The sequence below is a fragment of the Homo sapiens genome, chromosome 20 (genome assembly GCF_000001405.40).
Source record: "Homo sapiens chromosome 20, GRCh38.p14 Primary Assembly".
Lineage (NCBI taxonomy): Eukaryota > Metazoa > Chordata > Mammalia > Primates > Hominidae > Homo > Homo sapiens.
In genome coordinates, this window is record NC_000020.11 from 51,466,809 (window position 1) to 51,485,601 (window position 18,793).

Below are 18,793 nucleotides of genomic sequence, written 5' to 3' on the forward strand. Positions count from 1 at the left end.
CGTCTGTAATCCCAGTAGTTTGGGAGGCCGAGGCGGGCAGATCGCCTGAGGTCAGGAGTTCAAGACCAGCCTGGTCAACATGGTGAAACCCCATCTCTACTAAAAATACAAGAATTAGCTGGGCATGGTGGCAGTCGCCTGTAATCCCAGCTACTCGGGAGGCTGAGGCAGGAGAATCGCTTCAACCTGGGAGGTAGAGGTCACAGTGAGCCAAGACTGCGCCATTGCACTCCAGCCTGAGCAACAAGAGCGAGACTTAGTCTCAAAAAAAAAAAAAAAAAAGACACAAGACATTACCTGAAAATAAACAGGTAAGCCACAGACAGGGAAAAATATACACAAATCTGACAAAGGACTTATGTCCAGAATATATAAAGAACTGATGCATATTAACAATAAAAATATGAATAACCCAGTTAAAAATGGGCAAATATTTGAACAGACAATTTACCAAAGAAGATACATAGGCCAGACATGGTGGCTCACGCCCGTAATCCCAACAGTTTGGGAGGTGGAGGCAGGTGGATCACCTGAGGTCAGGAGTTCGAGACCAGCCTGGCCAACATGGTGAAACCCCGTCTCTACTAAAAATACAAAAATTAGCCGGGCATGGTGGTGGGCGCCTGTAATCCCAGCTACTCCAGAGGCTGAGGCAGGAGAATCACTTGAAGCTGGGAGGCAGAGGTTGCAGTGAGCCGAGATCATGCCATTGCACTCCAGCCTAGGGGAAAAGAGTGAGACTCCATCTCAAAAAAAATAAAAAAATAGAAGACACATAGATAGCCAACAAGCACCTGAATCATTAGTCATTAGGGAAATGCACATTAAAACCACAATGAGATCCCATTTTACTCTCATTAGAAGGGTTAAAATTTAAAAGACTGACAATACCAAATATTGGTGAGGATGTAGAGTAACTGGAACTCTCATACATCCTTGTTCAGAGTGGACTATGATGTTGAAAATACATAAATAAAAACATACACAACCAAGTCCCTTCCTAGGTCATTTACCCAAGAGAAATGAAAGCATTTGCTCACAGAAGGACTTGAGTAGGAATGTGCATAGTAGCCTTATCCATAAACCTAAGCCCCGGGAACAGACCAAATTTCTATCAATGGTAAATAAACAATTGTTATATTCATGCAATTGAATAGTAGTGCTCAGCAATAATTAGGAATGCATTACTGAATAACACCATAGCAGTGACAGATCTCAAAAATAACATGCTGAGCAAAAACAGCCAGACCCAGAAGGGTACACACTGTATTAATTCCATTCTATAAAGTTCTAGAACAGGGAAGATTAATCAACCGTGATAGAAATCAGAACAGCGCTGCCTCCGTGTGTGGGCTTGAGGAGGCGGCCTTGGCTGAAGGGACATGGGGAACGTTCAAGAGTGAAGAAAGTGCTCTGTCTTGAGTGGTGGTTACGTGGGTATATGCGATTGTCAAAAATCACTGAACACCTACAATCTATGCAATCTACTTTATCTTAATTATACCTCCATAAAAATATATATATATGTCACAAAGAGAGGCAGAGAGGGAAAAGAGCATGTGAAAAAATCCACTTTCTAACCCACACCCCATACCCACTCCCAAGCCCTGCAAAATGAGCAAAGCGAATTTACATTCTGTGCCCTGAGCTGGCAGGGCTTTGTGTGAAATTGCTTTACGTGTTTTCTGAAATACACGGAGCAGAGAGGCCCATCTGCTGGGCAGGGAGAAAGCCATAGTGGCTTGGGCAGAGCTACCTGGAGACATGGCTGGAGAGGTTCTGTTAAGTTCTCACAGGACCAGGTGTGTGCCTGTGGACATCTCCTGTCTCATTGCAGCCTTTTTCTCCCCACTGGGCAGTGTGGAAATACAGCCTGGAGACCGTCACCATGTGCTGAGCCCCGGCAAACATTGCCTGGTTCCGTCTTTATAGGACAGAGACTGACAAGTAAATTGGGCTGTCAGAGCACAAAGGGGGGCACCCCGTACCGTGTGGGGTCAGGGAATGCTTCCTCCTTGAGGAGCCATCTAAACAGGGGCCTTGGATGAGGAGGGGTTAGCCAAGCCACTGAAGGATGGGGAGGGGTGGGCTCCAGATATGCACCTCTCAAAGTCCGCCCCACATCAGAATCACTGGGAGACCTCGGAAAGCCTCCATGCCCAGGCCACATCCTGACAACCAAATCAGAGTCTCCAGGATGGGACCAGGACATCAGTATTTTTTTTTTTTCCTGAAATGGCATCTAACTTTGTCACCCAAGCTGGAGTGCAGTGGTGCAATCTTGGCTCACTGCAGCCTCAACCTCCTGGGTCCAAGCAATCTGCCCACCTCAGGCCCCCAAGTAGCTGAGACTACAGGCATGCACCAGCATGCCTGGCTAATTGTTTTTGTAGAGATGGGTTTTCACCATGTTAGTCAGGCTGGTCTCCAACTCCTGAGCTCAAGCGATCGTCCGGCCTTAGCCTCTCAAAGCACTGAGATTATAGACGTGAGCCACCGAGCTTGGCTGGGCATCAGTATTTTTTAATACAACTCCCGGGTAATTCTAACATACAGTCAAGTTTGAGATGCTCTGGGCAGAGGTGACAGTGTGCAAAAGCCAAAATGTCAGAGAAAGATCCCAATGCATTTGGGAACTGAGGAGCAGACAGGAAGGGAAGCCAACAAATGCAGTTGAGGAAGTGTAGTGGGTTACACATAGTACCCCCTACCCGACTCCTCCTCCCTGCAAACTTCACATCCACCCACAACCTCAGAACGTACCTTATTTGGAACCAGGGTCTTCACATATATAATTAAGGTAAGAATGGAGATGAGATCACCCTGGATTAGGTCTAAACCCAATAAGTGCATCCTCGTAAGCAACAGAAAAAGATACACACAGAGACCCAGAGAAGGCCATGTGCAGACAGAGGCAGAGACTGGAGCAATGCAGCCACAAGCCAAGGAAGGCCAGGGAGACCAGCAGGCACCAAAAGCTGGCGGGGATGGCACCGGCGGTTTCTCCCCTGAGTCTCCAGCAGGAACCAACCCTGCTGACACCTTGATTTCAGACTTCTGGCCTCCAGAACAGTGAGAGAACACATTTCTGTTGTTTCAAGCCACCTGGTTTGCAGTAATTGATTATGACAGCCTAGGAAACTAACATAAGAGGGAAGCAGGCGCCAGCTCTACCCCTGCAGGGAAAGTGGAGTTGAAGCTGACAACACCGAGGAGGCTGGGCTCAGGCGGGAATGAGGCTGAGCAGGAGGAGAGGGGAACTGCTCCGTGCCAAGTGGAGAAGGGAGGGCAGGCCCTTGCAGCTGCTGTCTATCATGGGTAGGCTTGTTGTTGGGGAAGACGGGGGTGATCCCTCTGACCTCTTCCATACTCCAGAGAAGTGGGAGGTGGGGTTATCTACATGGAGTGGGAAGGGGTGGGGGCAGCATTCAGAGGCTGGGAGACTGGAGAAGGGTCAGGTCAGTCTTCCTGAGAATAAGGAAAGGAGCAGTCGGGGAAGCTGGAAGGATCTCCTCGGCAATGCTGAAGCCCTAGTGGAAACAGAAGACTGGAAACACAAGAGTGCCAGTCTGTGCAAAAGTGAGATTGCAGCTCTGACCAGCTGGCATGCAAATAAACATAAGGCACCTGCACTCCTAGGAAATCACTCCACCTTCCAAAGAGCTGCCTCTGGTAGTTTGTTCATGTTGTTTCTGCTAGCATCGAAGAACTTACCCTTGATCCCTAAGACAGTACATAAAAGGCATCTCCAAAGTAAATAAATTAGCCTTGCAAATAAGTACTAGCCCACGAAGTGTTTTTCTCACCAACTCACTCTCCCTGTCATTGGAGACTCTGGCTTAGTCAGTATACACTGTCTAAGGGTATACTGTCATTAGTAACAATGTATTTTACAATACTCTGCCAGCGCGTGTTACGGACTAATTGCTAACATGTATTTACTGACTACCTCCCTGTGGATTATACAGTAAGTAGTCAATACATATTTATGGACCTACTAGGCACTGGTCTAGGGAAACAGAACAAAGAAGTAAATAAAAATGACAGAAAATTATTAGTGAGAACTAGAGTGGCCAACTGGTAGCTCAGCTTGGTATTGCAAGAGAGGGTGGGTTATGGGAACCAAAAGAAGAAAGGATTTCATAGAACCAGAAAGTTGAAGACTGGCTTTCCTACCTACCAAGTAAAAACAGGTGAATCACCTTACCAAGAAGTCTCAGTTTCCTTCTCTGTCAAAAGAAGGCAGGTGAATCAGGCAAATGCCTTTTTAAAAAGAAAAGAAAACAATTTTCAATGTTCAAACAGCTTTCTAACACCCTGAAGATCTTGCTGGAGGTACATGTGGTTAAGCGATGATCCTCAAAGTCTTAGATCGACATAAGATAAGTTGCCTTGAGAAACCCAAAGAGAGGGAGGATCAGGGGCTCCTGTCCCCACCTTGCTACAAACCCCAGTCCCATCCTGGAACATGAGTCATTTGCCAGAAAGGGGAGACCTTATCTGCTCACAATCCCCCAAATCGCTGCAAGTTTCCTTCCAAAAACATCTTGAGAGGTTCAAAACCAAGACCTTGGTGGGGCAGCCACCATGACCAGCATTTGATGGACAGGAGTGGGGTCTACTGAGCTGAGCAGGAGAATTCCAATATTTCTAGTAATGGGGTTTTCAACATGTTTTCCCTTGGTATCTACTATTGGGTCTTTCTCTTCTAAGATCAGAATACAAGCTCACCACCAATTCAGACTGATCCACGTCTTGACTCAAAAGGCTGAAAGAAATTAGAGTGACTCTTCATTCATTTCCAAAGACCAACCAAGACCAAGTTCTGGCTGCTCTCCCAAAGAAAGGACCATCCTCTCTCCTTCCTGACTTTTCACCATGAAGGCTAGGCTTTCCCAACCTCTTCTGCAGAAAATACGCTTTCCCTTTGCATGTTAGTCTTCAGACTATCTCTGATTAACAGAAGCTATCTGCAGATATTTTCTGACCGCAGAGCATTTTGATTTTTCTACTATTTTTTTAAATCGGGATATTTTTTGGTTTATTTTTAAAAACCAGAAGATTTCCAGCGCCAGCTGATGGATGCAGCAAAGCACCATGGCACATGTTTACCTGTGTAACAAACCTGTACATCCTACACATGTACCCTGGAACTTAAAATAGGCCAGGTGTGGTGGCTCACACCTGCGATCCCAGCACTTTGGGAGGCTGAGGTGGGTGGATCATCTGAGGTCAGGAGTTCGAGACCAGCCTGGCCAACATGGCGAAACCCTGTCTCTACTAAAAAATACAAACAATTAGCCAGGCGTGGTAGTGGGTGCCTGTAATCCCAGTTACTTGGAGGGCTGAGGCAGGAGAATCACTTGAACCCGGGAGGTAGAAGTTGCAGTGAGCCAAGATCGCACCACGGCACTCCAGCCTGGATCAGAGAGTGAGATTCCTTCTTAATAAAATAAAATAAAATAACCAAAATATTTGATCACATTGAGTCTATATTCCCACGTGGAAATACTGGCTGCAGTTGAGTAGCAGCAGCGCATTTAGATAGTGAATGTCCCCAATCTCCACTATTCCCTGACGTCTGCCACCCAACCTACCCCATTCATTTTCACAACCTCCCTGGCCTCTGTAGGAAGTTGATATTGTGACACCTAGTTATGGTAAAATGTCCAGCAAAAAGGAAAAAAAATCCTGAACCATAATTTAATATGGAACATGATTAGAACAGCATGAAACCAAATGTTCTTAGAAGAAAGAGACTTTAAAACAATAGAAACAGTTTTTGTTTCTGGAACAATGCTTATTTTTTTCTTCTTTCTTCTTTTTTTTTTTTTTTTTTTTTTTTGAGACAGGGTCTCACTCTGTTGCCCAGGCTGGAGGGCAGTGGTGCGATCTCAGCTCATCGCAACCTCCACCTCCCGGATTCAAGTGATTCTCCTGCCTCAGCCTCCCAAGTAGTTGGAATTACAGGCGCATACCACCACACCCGGCTAATTTTGTATTTTTAGTAGAGATGGGGTTTCACCATGTTGGCCAGGCTGATCTTGAACTCCTGACCTCAAGAGATCCACCAAAGTGCTGGGATTACAGGTGTGAGCCACTGCGCCTTGCCTCTTCTTCATGCTTTCTAAAATAACTTCTAAACTTTCAAACACTGAGCAGATAATAAGTGTTGTCACATCTAATTGCAGAGATTAACTACAAAACTGTGTTAATGTATAAGTAGACTTTAAACTTAGGTATAAAGTACGTAAGAATGAGCTCAAAGCTACTTTTTGTTTTGAAACCTGGTAGAAATGTGCCAGGTTTCTGCTCAGTGTCCTTCCAAATGGCAGATCCTGGTCACTTCGTATCAGACTCCGAAAATCTTCTGCAATGATACAACCATCTGTCTGGGTGTCCTTATCCTCTCCAGACCGTAAGCTCATTAAGGCCAGAGAAAGTGTCCTGCTCATCTATGGATCCCCAACCCCTGGCATAGTGCAGGATAAAAAACAGACCTCAGTCAACATGCAGAGATGGGTGCGGGGACAGGGTGGGGGACAGGGCATGGGTGGGGGACAGGGCATGCCTCCCACGTGCAAAAGCCCCAGTTCCAATCCCAACCCTGCCACTCTTTGGTTGTGTGCACAGTTTACCCCCTTGTGACTCCACCTTCTCATCTGTGAAATGGGCACACTGACACCAGCTAGCTCCCGGGACTGCTGTGAATACTCATGCGGAGCACTTCACACTGTGACCAGCAGAGTCAAAGCTCAATGAGTGAGAGCTGCTGTGGTTTGTTATTGTTATTGAAAGGATAAAGAAGGAAAAGAAAAAAGGGCACCATGCACAGCAAACTCACTCCAAATGCATCTATCCTTTAAGACCAGAATGATATTTACACATTTCAAGTCTTCTGAATGAAGCTTTAGGCTACTTATTGGCCCTATTATTTTTAAATTTCCTGTGAGGCCACAAAACCTTCCAGAAGTCAATAGAAGCAGCAAGAGAACACTGCAATGTGCTCTGTCTCTGTCCCCTCTGGTCATCTTGGGCCAGTGTAACCCTGTGGGTCCCACACATTCCCGCAGGCCACCCCGGGTACCTCGCCCAGAATACACTGCTCCCGGGGGAAGCCCACGTGCCCTACGCTTTCTGAAGAAAGACCGGGCCCCAGGGCCCAACTTACAGCACTCGATGGGGTTAGATGCAGTCTGTAAAGAGACGATTCTGCCACTGGACTCTGGGATGTGAACTCGGAAAACCAGTCTCACCCGCGTGTTCTTTCTTCCAATGTCCGTCTCGCCTTTCCGCAGCTCAATGTCGGCGTTTCTAAGCTTCAAGATCCCCGCACAGTCGATGCTGCCAGGATGTTAAGAACCCCATTGTCACCAACTACCTTCAGGAGCAGGAAAGATCACCCCCAAAGCTGCCAGTCTACAGCCAGTCACTGGGGGAAACTGCAATACACTCACATAAGCATTTCAGCCAGGAATGTATACCAAGATGGGGGTAAAAAATACTTAACAAAAGCAATTAGAGAAATTCCCCAGTGAAAATTACTTGTCTAGGGAGATTTTTCATGCCAACTCTTCTACTCTCAAAAACATCTGAAAAACTCTATGTAACTGGGGACTATTGATTGTGGACTATTCAATAGATAAGAGTAGTGAATCAACGTGAAATCTCTTGAATTGAATAAATGTACTGTGATTGTGTATGAGAGCATCCTTGCTCTTAGGAAATGCATCCTGAAGTATTTAAAAGTAAAAGGGCATAAAGTCTGCAAATACCTCTCAAACAGTTCAGGAAAAAACGGAGAGGTGGGAAAGAAAGTGCTGGAGCACAGGTGAAGCATGTTAACGCCTGGGAAAGCCGAGGGGGCAGGATTCAGGAGTTCTTTGTACACTTCTTGCAGTATTTCTGTAAGTTTGAATTTATTTTCCCATCCAAAGGTTTTTTTAACCCCAAAATGTGTGCAATGGTTCCCAGATTTTAGCCACAGCCATATTAGCTTTGTGAATTTGGGCCTCTCTGCATCATCACTTAATGATCTCTCTAGGTCAAATTAATTTTTTAAATATAAGTAAATTTAACCTGATCCCATGCAACATAACACAAATATTCACGAGTTCTTCCTCCCGAGGCACATGAAAATACTGACATATTATACTTTATTTATTTTTTTTTTTTTTTGAGACAGAGTCTCACTCTGTCACCCAGGCTGGAGTGCAGTAGTGTGATCTCGGCTCACAGCAACCTGCCCGCATCAAGTTCAAGCAATTCTCCTGCCTCAGCCTCCAGAGTATCTGGGATTACAGGCGCCCGCCACCATACCCAGCTAATTTTTGTATGTTTAATAGAGATGGGGTTTCACCATGCTGGCCAGGCTGGTCTTGAATTCCTGATCTCAAGTGATCCACCCGCCTCAGCCTTCCAAAGCGCTAGGATTACAGGCGCGAGCCACCACGCCCGGCCTACATATTATGCTTTTAAAATGGAAACATTTAAAACAGAAATCACAACGGGTCGATGGATCACAGACTGAGAACTGCCATCAACAGCTGCTTCCATCAGTTCTGTAGAGTCCCCTCTCCCAAATCCCTGCCACCTGCCCCCTGCTCGCTTCTCCATGAAGACCCGCCGCCCTCAGCTCCCAGCCCTTACGTTGCCCTCATGTTGTTTTTGGGCTCCAAGGGTATCTCCAGGACTTTGGTGTTGCCCACTATCTTCTCATAGCTGGTGGTGGTGACAGTTTTCCCCGTGATTCGGTGCACCTGGTAGAAGGCGTGCGGCTTAAGGATCCGCTCATCAGCTGTCCCAATGAAGATCTGAAGTCCCAGAGGCTTGTTTTCCATGTAGCCATGGAGCTGGTGGGGGAGAAAACAAAATCATTAAGGTGCGGGGTGTGGTGGCTCTAATCCAATAAACAAAAAAAGACCAGAGAGCTCATGGGCAGTAGAGAGACTATGGGATTTCTGCAGCATCTGGAAGAATGGAGAACTGGAAACAACCTTGATGTCCAGCCAGAGGGTAACGCTTGGATAAATTACAGGGATCCCCTCTAATGCTGAATATTAAGCAGCCACTAGAAAGAATACAGTAAGTCAGAACTGCATTTATGGAGAAACAGCCAGAAACTGTGCTTAATTGATGACTGAGGGTGGAAGGAGTGTTGCATAGTAGTGAGGATAACTGAAATTAACTGCAAATAAACTGAAAGGACAAACATAGAGCTCTTGATAGTGATTGCCTGAGAAGATCAGAAGAAAGAACTGTCACTTCTTTTTTTTTTTTTTTTTATACTTTAAGTTTTAGGGTACATGTGCACAACGTGCAGGTTAGTTATATATGTATACATGTGCCATGTTGGTGTGCTGCACCCATTAACTCATCATTTAACATTAGGTATATCTCCTAATGCTATCCCTCCCCCCTCCCCCCACCCCACAACAGGCCCCAGTGTGTGATGTTCCCCTTCCTGTGTCCATGTAGAACTGTCACTTCTTATATGACTATATTCCAATGAACAAAGTTTGATTGTGTAACTTTAAAAAAGAGTGTGACAAAAATGCCATAGTCTAAGTCAAAAGATAAAGACTGAAAGAAAATATGTGCAACATATAACAGATAAAAGATTAGCACATAGAATATATGAAGAATGCCTATAGTGAGTAAGTAAAAGATTCCCTGGCCATCTATTTAGAATTGAATCCTAATCCCAATGGCTTTCCCTATCTCTCTCTCCTACTTTTTATCCAGTCCAACACACTATACATTTTCTTGATTCCTTTTGCCTAAGTCTTTCTCCCAGAACTAAACTGTCACCTCTCTGAGAGCAGAGATGTTTGTCTAGTTAATTTGCCACAAAATCTCTAGCACCTAGAGTAACGCTTGGCACATAGTAGGCATTCTAGTACATATTTGATGAGTGAATTAATAAGGCTATCCAACAGAAAAAAAGTGAGTAAGATATTTGAACAGGAAATTCAGAGAAAACAAATGACCAGTTTGACTTCTAAACAAACATGCAAATTAGACAGCCATGAGATACCACTTTTCACCTGTTAGATTGGCACACATGTAGATATTTGATAATATCAAGTATTTTGGAGATTGTGGGGGAACAGGCACTTTTATGCAGGTAAGAGCAATATAGACTGGTATAACTATTTTAAAGAGTATCAGAGCAACAGCTTTAGTAAAACTACATAAATAAACACTCTTTGACCCAGTAATTCCACCTCTCCATACGCAGCCTGGAGAAACACTGTATATGCAGGAGACACGTACAAAAATGTTTACAAAAACAAACAGAATAATGAACAATGAGTTACATCAATAGCCTGACTACTAACAGGACATGCCTAGGCTGTGATACACTAAGAAGCACTTTAAAAAATAGTAAGGTAGAAGCCTATGAACCGACCCAGAAAGATCTAGGACACGCTGTTGAAAAACAAAAGCAATGTGTAGAAAAATACATACAGCATGATACAACTTAAAAAAATGCAGAATGTTTTCCATCCATCCAGTTATAATAGAAAAAGGTGTGAAAGGATGTGCTCCAAACTGACCACATCATCACCTCTGTGAATGGAGAAGAAGCTCAAGATTGAGAAGGTGATCAAAGAGGACTTTGACTTTATATGCCATGTTATAGGAAGGATAGATTCCTAGAAACCTGTGAAATATTTAAAATATATATATATACACATATATATATACATATGTGTGTGTGTGTCTATATATATATATATATATATATATATATATATATATATATATATAAAATAACAAGAGACAAAAGGACATTGGTCTAGAGTTTGATGATGTGTTCCTGTCTTGTCATTGAGTGGAGAAACACTAGACAAATCATTTAATCTTTCTGTGCCTCTATTCCTTTCTCCACTAATTGAGTGGGACTACAGGTGACAACTCACGAAGACCCCACTCTTCTCTGGAGATCCTTCGGTAGGATCTCCAGTCACCTGCCAAAAGGCAAAGTTGCAGGGTGATGAATGGTTACATATGGTCTAGAATTGTGCAATCTAATGCAAGAGCCACTAACCACATGTATATATTAATTAAAATTAAGTAAAATTGAAAATTCAGTTTTTCAGGTACACTAGCCACATTTCAGTGCTCAGAAGCCACATGTGGCTAGTGGCAGCCACAATGAACAAACAGCACAGACACAGAATGTTTCCATCATCACAGAAAGTCCTATTGAACAATGCTGGTCTAGAAAGATGGCATGCTCATGTCCCCTTCTAAAAGCCATACAAAGAGAGAGGCTGGGAGTGGAACTGTGCTAGATGATCACCTTTTTTCATAACCTGCCAGACACTTACATAAGTGTCTGACACACACCTGAGAGGCGGCCTTGGGCCAAGATGGAAATCCAAGTCAGAAGCCTCTTATCTGAAGAACAGCTACTGTACTCAGTGACGAAAATCAAAATAAGGGCAGCATTGAGAAGAGATTTTGTTTTTGTTGTTTTTGCTTTGCATTTGAGCCCAAGACAAATATATTTCCTCATCTCCTCTCCTGGATTTATCAAGAGTTGGTATCAAGAAGAAAGGTAGGATGGAGAGTGAGCCCTGATGATGTGGAGCTGTTTCCTCCTCAATGAAAGAAGAGCAGAAATCGCCTGCTGGGTGTACTCAAGGTAAACAGGCAGGGAACACCTGGAGATAAAAATCTATCGTGTCCCTACAGCTCCATGTGAATCCAGCCATTTCCATCCCCGCTCTTGTTGGCACACCTGCCCAAGCCACCATCAACCCTTATTAGAGTGACCAGCACTGATTGCCCAGCTTACCTCTGGCTGGTCTTTCACAGAACAGCTCGATGATCTTTTAAAAATGCAAATCAGATCCAGATACTCCCCTGCCTACAACCCTTCAAAGACTTCCTGTGGCCTTATATTAAAATCCAAACTCTGTGTGATAGTCTAAGAGCCTTCCCACAGCCCAGCCTCTGCCTTCTCCTCCACCACCCCACTAGGCTCCTGCCAACACCAGCCATCCTCCTGTTCCCTGAACACACCAAGGTCTTTCTGACCTCAGGGCCTTTGCACAAGCCATTTTCTCCACCTAGAATCCTCTTCCACTAGCACATTTGGGTTTCAGATCTTCAGGTTTTTCCTGAACCAGATTAGATGCATTCAGTGCTAAAGCCAGCTCTTTAGGCATTACAAGAACCAATCGTTAAACCTATAGGAATTTTAAGAGCCAGTTGACACCACTTTGGTATGTACGTTTCCAGCCGTAGTGGGAATATTTACACCACAAAAATTGACAAATGCTATAGATCAGGGCTTTTTTTTTCCCCCTGGAAAACTGGATGTTAAACGTTTACTAGCACATCACTGGAATATTTACTTCATTAACATCTGAAATTTCCTTGTTTAGTTAGTTATTTGCTGAACACCTCTCTCTCCTGCCTGAACGTGAGTTTCACAGCAGTAGGGACCTTGCTATTTTGTTAGCATGGTCAATGAACATTTGTTGAATAATCTGTCACCATCAACAGTAATACAGTGCCAGGCATGGTGGCTCATGCCTGTAATCCCAGCACATTGGGAGGCCAAGGTGGGTAGATCTCTCGAGCCCAGAAGCTCAAGACAAGCGTGGACAACATGGCCTGACCCGTCTCCACCAAAAAAATGCAAAAATTAGCCAGGCATAGTGTCGCACGTCCGTAGTCTCAGCTGCTTTGTGGGGCTGAAGCGAGAGGATCAGTTGAGTCCAGGAGGTTGAGGCTACAGTGAGCCACAATCGTGCCACTGCACTCCAGCCTGGGTAGCAGAGCATGACCCTGTCTCAAACAAATAAACCAACAAAAAACAGTAATGCAGCAGTGAAAGCATCTGTTTCCCTCATGCCACACACCACACTTGATGTTTTACACATCTCACAACAATTCCACGTAAGATGGGCTCACTGCTACCCACATTTTACAGGTGAGGAAACTGAGGCTGCTAAGGTCTGGCAACTTGTCCCAGTCAACACAGTGAGCATAGGGCAGAGCCAGGCTCCAAACTCCAGCCTCTCAGGCTCCGAACCCACCCGCTTCCCTGCCACCCTCTCTCTGTCCTCAGCGCTTGGTGGATTCCACTCTGCTCTCTGATTACTACAGGTCAGAAAGGGCAGGTCCTCAAAGGCAAAATAAGCAAGTGCTAAGGTGCAACATCAAGAATGTGCTTCCTGGGGCCAGGCGCGGTGGCTCGTGCCTGTAATCCCAGCACTTTGGGAGGCTGAGGTGGGCAGATCACTTGACGTCAGGAGTTCAAGACCAGCCCGGGCAACATGGTGAAACCCCGTCTCTGTGAAAAATACAAAAATTAGCCAGGTATGGTGGCACGTGCCTGTAATCCCAGCTACTCAGGAGACCAAGGCAGGAGAATCACTTGAACCCGGGGGTTGGAGGTGGCAGTGAGCCGATATTGCACCACTGCACTCCCGCCTGGGTCACAAAGCAAGACTCTGTCTCAAAAAAAATAGAATGTGCTTCCTGCCGCACAGGAGAGAGAGTGGGGCAGGAAGGAGGGAGAAAAGAAGGGGCACAGAGGGAGATGGAGGGAGAGAAACAAACAGCAACCTAAACAAACAAAAACGGTAGTTCCTTGAGAGAAAAACCTCTTTAGGAAAGCCAAGAATGGCCTCTCTGAGTTGAAGAGCAGCCTCTGGGTTGAGCTGGGCTGGCTTATACAATGTGAGCAGATAGAATCCACCTGGCACTGGTGAGGGTCCCTTCCCCGCCTCCCCGGGTAACACCAGAAAGCAGTGTGGTATAGCTGAAAGCACAAAGTTTTTCACTTTGGGTCAGACATATCTGAATTTCGATGCCAGCTCTGCTTCTTGATGGCTGTGTGACTGTGAGCAATCGCTCCACCCCTGAGTTTCCATATGCTCAGATAAAAAGGAGACATCACCCCCCACCCTGCAGGCCTCTTCTGAAAGGCGAAATAAGGTGACCTTTGTTGGGCACCAAAGCACAGCACACGGTAGGTACCCATGAAACGAGAACTTTCCTTGTCATCGGAGGATGACGCAAATCGAAACAGGGAGGTGATATTACAGAACTGAATGGAAGGGTGAAGAATGAATGTGAACAAAGTGAGAACCAACGTGAAGGCCTCCCATATGGGAAAGCCCAGGCACTAATTGCAGTCTTCTCAGTGGGCTGGCTCAACAGTTGCCGGCTTGGAGTGTCAGAGGAAAGAGGGGCCAGGTGAAGAAACCTCACCATCTTTCATGAAAGGAATACTTCCCGTCCACCCTCCATCCTCCCCTCCTACAAAAGGTACAGAATGTGCCCAGAATCCCAACTGCTCAGCTGCCTCATTCTGGAAGAGCCTTCCTCGCCAGGTCCCTGGAGGTTTGATGAGAAGAACAGATAGCCATTTACTTGCTTCTCCAAAAACTCAGTGATTTGGGTTTTGCAAATAGAACTTGATGTTTTGAGATGACATGATCTACCCTTCAGGTTCCAAACTCCCCACCATCCCCATTTTCGGGAGACCTCGGTCAGGAGGCTTTGGGGCGGCCTTTTCAGGCTTCTCCAAAGGTGAGGTCTTCTCGGTGGCCTGGACCAGCCGGATCACACTCCAGGCACAGCAGACACATTCTGCAATACAGGAGCTCCACGTCACTGGCCTCCCGAGCAAAGGAAACGCCACTTCCTGCAGCCAAGGTGAGAGCGAAAGTTTTCTGCTTCTTGTAATTTCCCAGGCAGTTGAAAAGGTTCCAGGAAGAAGCAGTGCTTCTAGTGCACACCGTGAAGGGCTGAATGCACGGGAGGGGAGTGTCTGTGGCGTCTGCGGGGGTGGGGGCCCAGGCTGCAGCTTGGTGCGACTTCCATCCACCAACCTTCCCATCAAAGGGACCCAAGAAGCCAACTGCAGGCTTGGGGGCATCATTCTATTAATAATCCACTCTGTCCCCTTGTCAACTCAGCTACTTGAAAAACCGGATCTGAGGAATGACGTGTGATTTAGACATCCCGCCACAGTTAGCTATATAAATGACGCCATCCAACCTCATCACAAGGAAAACTTTGCACCCTCCATAGGTGAAGACCTTTCTACACAGTGTATTGGGATCGCTTGCAAACATAGCTAATGTAATCTCCATAACAATGCTCAGAGAAGAGCAGTGTTATCCCATTTTTAGATGAGAACGGTGAGGCTCAACCAGGTTAACTAACTTGCTCACTATCCTACAGGTCATAAGTGATCAGGTGGCAACAGCCTCCACTGGCCCTGTTTGTTTCTTCTGTTGTATGGCTGATTCCTGATTCAGAAAAAGGCAAAATCCCCCCACCCCCAGCCCCCCAAGTCTGGCCTATGCATTTTAAGACAGGCAAATCCACCCCACCAGCTCAGCAATAAGAACCCAGAGACACACAAACATGGCCTCCACGTGTCAAAGACCCTCAGCGTCAAAGAGAAAGTTATTCAGACTCACCCCTGCCTGCCACCAAATTCAAGATCTGCCTATTTTTAGTGGCAACTTAACTGTCCTGATACAAAGATAAAAAGGCATCAATATCTGTTGATTCTTGCTGTTCCTTTTTTTTTTTGGTGTAAAGTACTAAGAGCTCACTCATTGCAGGAAAAAATAGACAAGATAAATCACAAAAAGAATACCCCTTGAAAATAAGTAAGCATTTGAGTGTACATCCTTCCAAACTTTTCTTTCATTCCAAACTGTTTTATTATTCATTTTATTTTTCCTCTTAATTGACAAATAACAATTTTATATATTTATGGGGTACAATATGTGATGCTTTAATATGTGTTTACATTGTGGAATGATTAAATCAAGCTAATTAACACATCCATCACCTCACATACTTATTGTTTGGTGGTAAAAACACTTCAGATCTACTCTTAGCACTTTTGAAATATAGACAATGATTATTTACTATAGTCACCATTCTGTACAAGAGATCACTAAAGCTTATCCCCCTAACTGAAGTTATCTACGCTTTCAGACTTTTCTTCCAGGCACACAGATCAACATATTGGCATTCGAGTTTATGTACTGTCTCCATTGACTAAGATGGTCATGTCCTCTTGTCATTGAATCTTGCTTTATGAGAATCTCAAAGAACTACATGGCACATCCCAGGGTTCGGACTAGCCCAAGGCCAGTGAGGTCCCCAGGACACGCGATCTGAGGGGGCATTCACTATCAAGGTCCAGCAAATGCAAGGTGGGCTCCTGAGAGTGAGCCCCACTCTACATTTGGCCCCCTGGTGCCTCTCTTCCCGCAACCCAGCCCCAGCCCTTGCGTGCCCGTTCTGCCTGTGGATCCCTGCAGCCAGGTGCGCATTTAGATGGTTCCCAACTTTCCCCCATTACAAACACTGCAATAAGAACCCTTGCAAGTGGCACGTCTCTGAAAACGACTCTGCTATCAACTCTGCTCAGGGCTTTTTAAATACTCTCAGTTGGACGATTCCAATCCAAAATGTGAGACTGATTTTCAAAATGGCAACGGGCCAAACAGTTTTGAATTTTACTAAAATAAAACATTAACGATGTTAAGTAGCATTTTGTTGAATTTGAAATATTAGGAAATTGCTATCATCCTCAAAGATTTCACTCTGAAAGAAAGAAAAAGCCCAGGGTGGGGGAGAAGGCCGAGCGGGAGGGTACCGGGGAAGAGGACTGCAATTCCCCATGGCCATGCAGCACATGGGGAGAAAATTTTTACAAACACACATGGATCCCAATTCAGTATCTATTTTGGGGTGCTAAAGTTGCAGCACGTACCTGCCATCCTAACCCCACCTTCCACCCTCTCCCCCCCACCACACACACACACACAGACACACACACAAGCAGACCAGGCACACTTCGTCCATGACTTGACTCTCACCCATTCCAACAAGCCATGACTGTGTGTTAATCACTTCAATAACAACCCTAACTCTTGGTAACTCTCTCTGCCTCCATCCCATATTAGATCCATCTCAAAGCCCTGTCAATTCCATTCCCTAAATCCCACTCAAATTTGCCACCTGTGACTCTCCATCACTTCCACTCTAGTGCCCTGGTCAAAGAGGGGGCCCAGTCTCCTTACCCACCCCTCTCCCTCCACCTACACACAGTCTTCTTCACATAGCAGTCCAGCTAGAAAGATCCTTAAAATGGTAAGTTAGAGCTTTTGCCACCTCTGCTAAAATCGCCCCAACAGCAAACATCTTCCTTGCATCAAAAAGCCCGAGTCCTTACCATGACTCAGAAGATCCCATATGATCTGGCCCTGCTTCTCCATCTCCCACCCACCCTTCTTCCCTCCCTGCTGCCCCCCATGACAGCCACACTGGCCTTGTCACCCTCAAGAGAGCCAGACACCCACCAGGCAGGTGCCCGTCCCTGCATCCCAACACTTATCATGCCCTCAGCTTGAAATGCTCTCCCTCCATGACCTGCAGGGCTCACCCCACTCTTCATTGGAACCTGTCCTCAGGTGACCTCTCATCAGAGAAGCCTTCCCAGACAGCCGCACCCCAATGTGACACCCCACGCCCTTCCCACTGTCCCTCCACACACCCTGCCTTAAGTTGCATCATCCACCTGACGCTTCCCTCCACCTGACCCCACATGTGATAGTTATTTGCTCTTTGCTGCCTCCCCACTAGAATGTCAGTCCCGTGGGGGCAGCACCCCATCTTTCCTGTTCATGGTGCAGCCTCAATGCCTAGAGCACCACACAGGTGTCCAACGAGCGAGCAAGGCTAGAAGGAAGAGTCTGTGACATCATGGGAGGGGCCGGAGCAGCTGCAGTCTCTCCAGACCTACGCCTCTCCCATGACAAAGAGCTGTTATACGCCCACACCGGCTTCTCTCCAGCTTGGGCAATTCTCCTCCCGGCCCACAGCGACCATTGTGTCACAGAGCCTTGTCCTGCTCGGTGTGGGCACGACTCAGCTGGTTGGACAACTGGTACCTGGGCTGCCCTGTTCCGAACAGAGGTGACAGCATCTCCAGGTATGATGAAGAAGGAGCCCTGCGCCTGCTTTCTGACCCAGCTGGGATCCCACTGGCTGGATGTGTCTTCAGTCCTGCAGGAGGCCACTGTGATCAGCCGCCCTGCTGATAGTGGCACATTTTGAAATTACACAGGGAACCATAAAAAGAATTAGACATTCTGGACAGGCTTGAAAACCAAACAAGTCAGGCTCTCTCAGTGTTCTAAATTAAGAATCAAGTCATTCTATATTTCTCACATCACTGAAAATTAAAAACAGACATATCTACCGCATAGCAAGCACGCTCACTCAAGAGAGACTTGATGGCCCGAAACATGCTAGATTTGTTTCCAATTACCATGTCCACATTTGAAACCCTGAGGAAGCCCTAGAAACCAGTGTGGAGAGATCAGAGACAAGGCACATTAGCCTAACAGGACTCAGGACCAAACGCTGCACCCCAGCCCCCTCTACTCATGGTCCCCCATGGGGTCTTTAAATAAAAAACCTGGATCATTTTGTCCCTTCCTTTGGGGGCTGGAGGCATGAACCTTCCCTTCTCTGCTCTCAGCTGCCCCTCTCCACTCTCAGCTTCCAGCTTCTGGTCCCCTGGACAGAGATGTCAACCCAGCCACGGGCTCCCTACCAACATTCCCGTCCCCACCATCATATAGGAGCTGGGTCTGGAAGTATGGGATTAAAATATGCAAGCCTTCTTTGAGTTGACCTTTGAAGTTGGGCTTTTTCTTGTTGATTTTTTTTTTTTAAGAAGCCATACAAGTGCTTTTCACATCTTCTGTCTATATTCCTCTTGCGCAGAACC

The 18,793-nt window shown here is 46.0% G+C and overlaps 1 protein-coding gene across 12 annotated transcripts in view; it reads right to left on the minus strand.

Annotated features, from left to right (window-relative positions):
• The window catches only part of NFATC2 (nuclear factor of activated T cells 2), a 175,877-nt gene that overhangs the window by 79,846 nt on the left and 77,238 nt on the right, over positions 1–18,793 (minus strand). For all 12 annotated transcript variants that reach the window (NM_001258295.2, NM_001258294.2, NM_001258292.2 and 9 more), the window contains exons 4-5: positions 8,650–8,852; positions 7,172–7,344 (exon numbers count right to left, since the gene is read on the minus strand). In NM_001258295.2, coding sequence (NP_001245224.1) covers positions 7,172–7,344; positions 8,650–8,852 — 376 coding nt within the window. The remainder of the gene's footprint in view (positions 1–7,171; positions 7,345–8,649; positions 8,853–18,793) is intronic.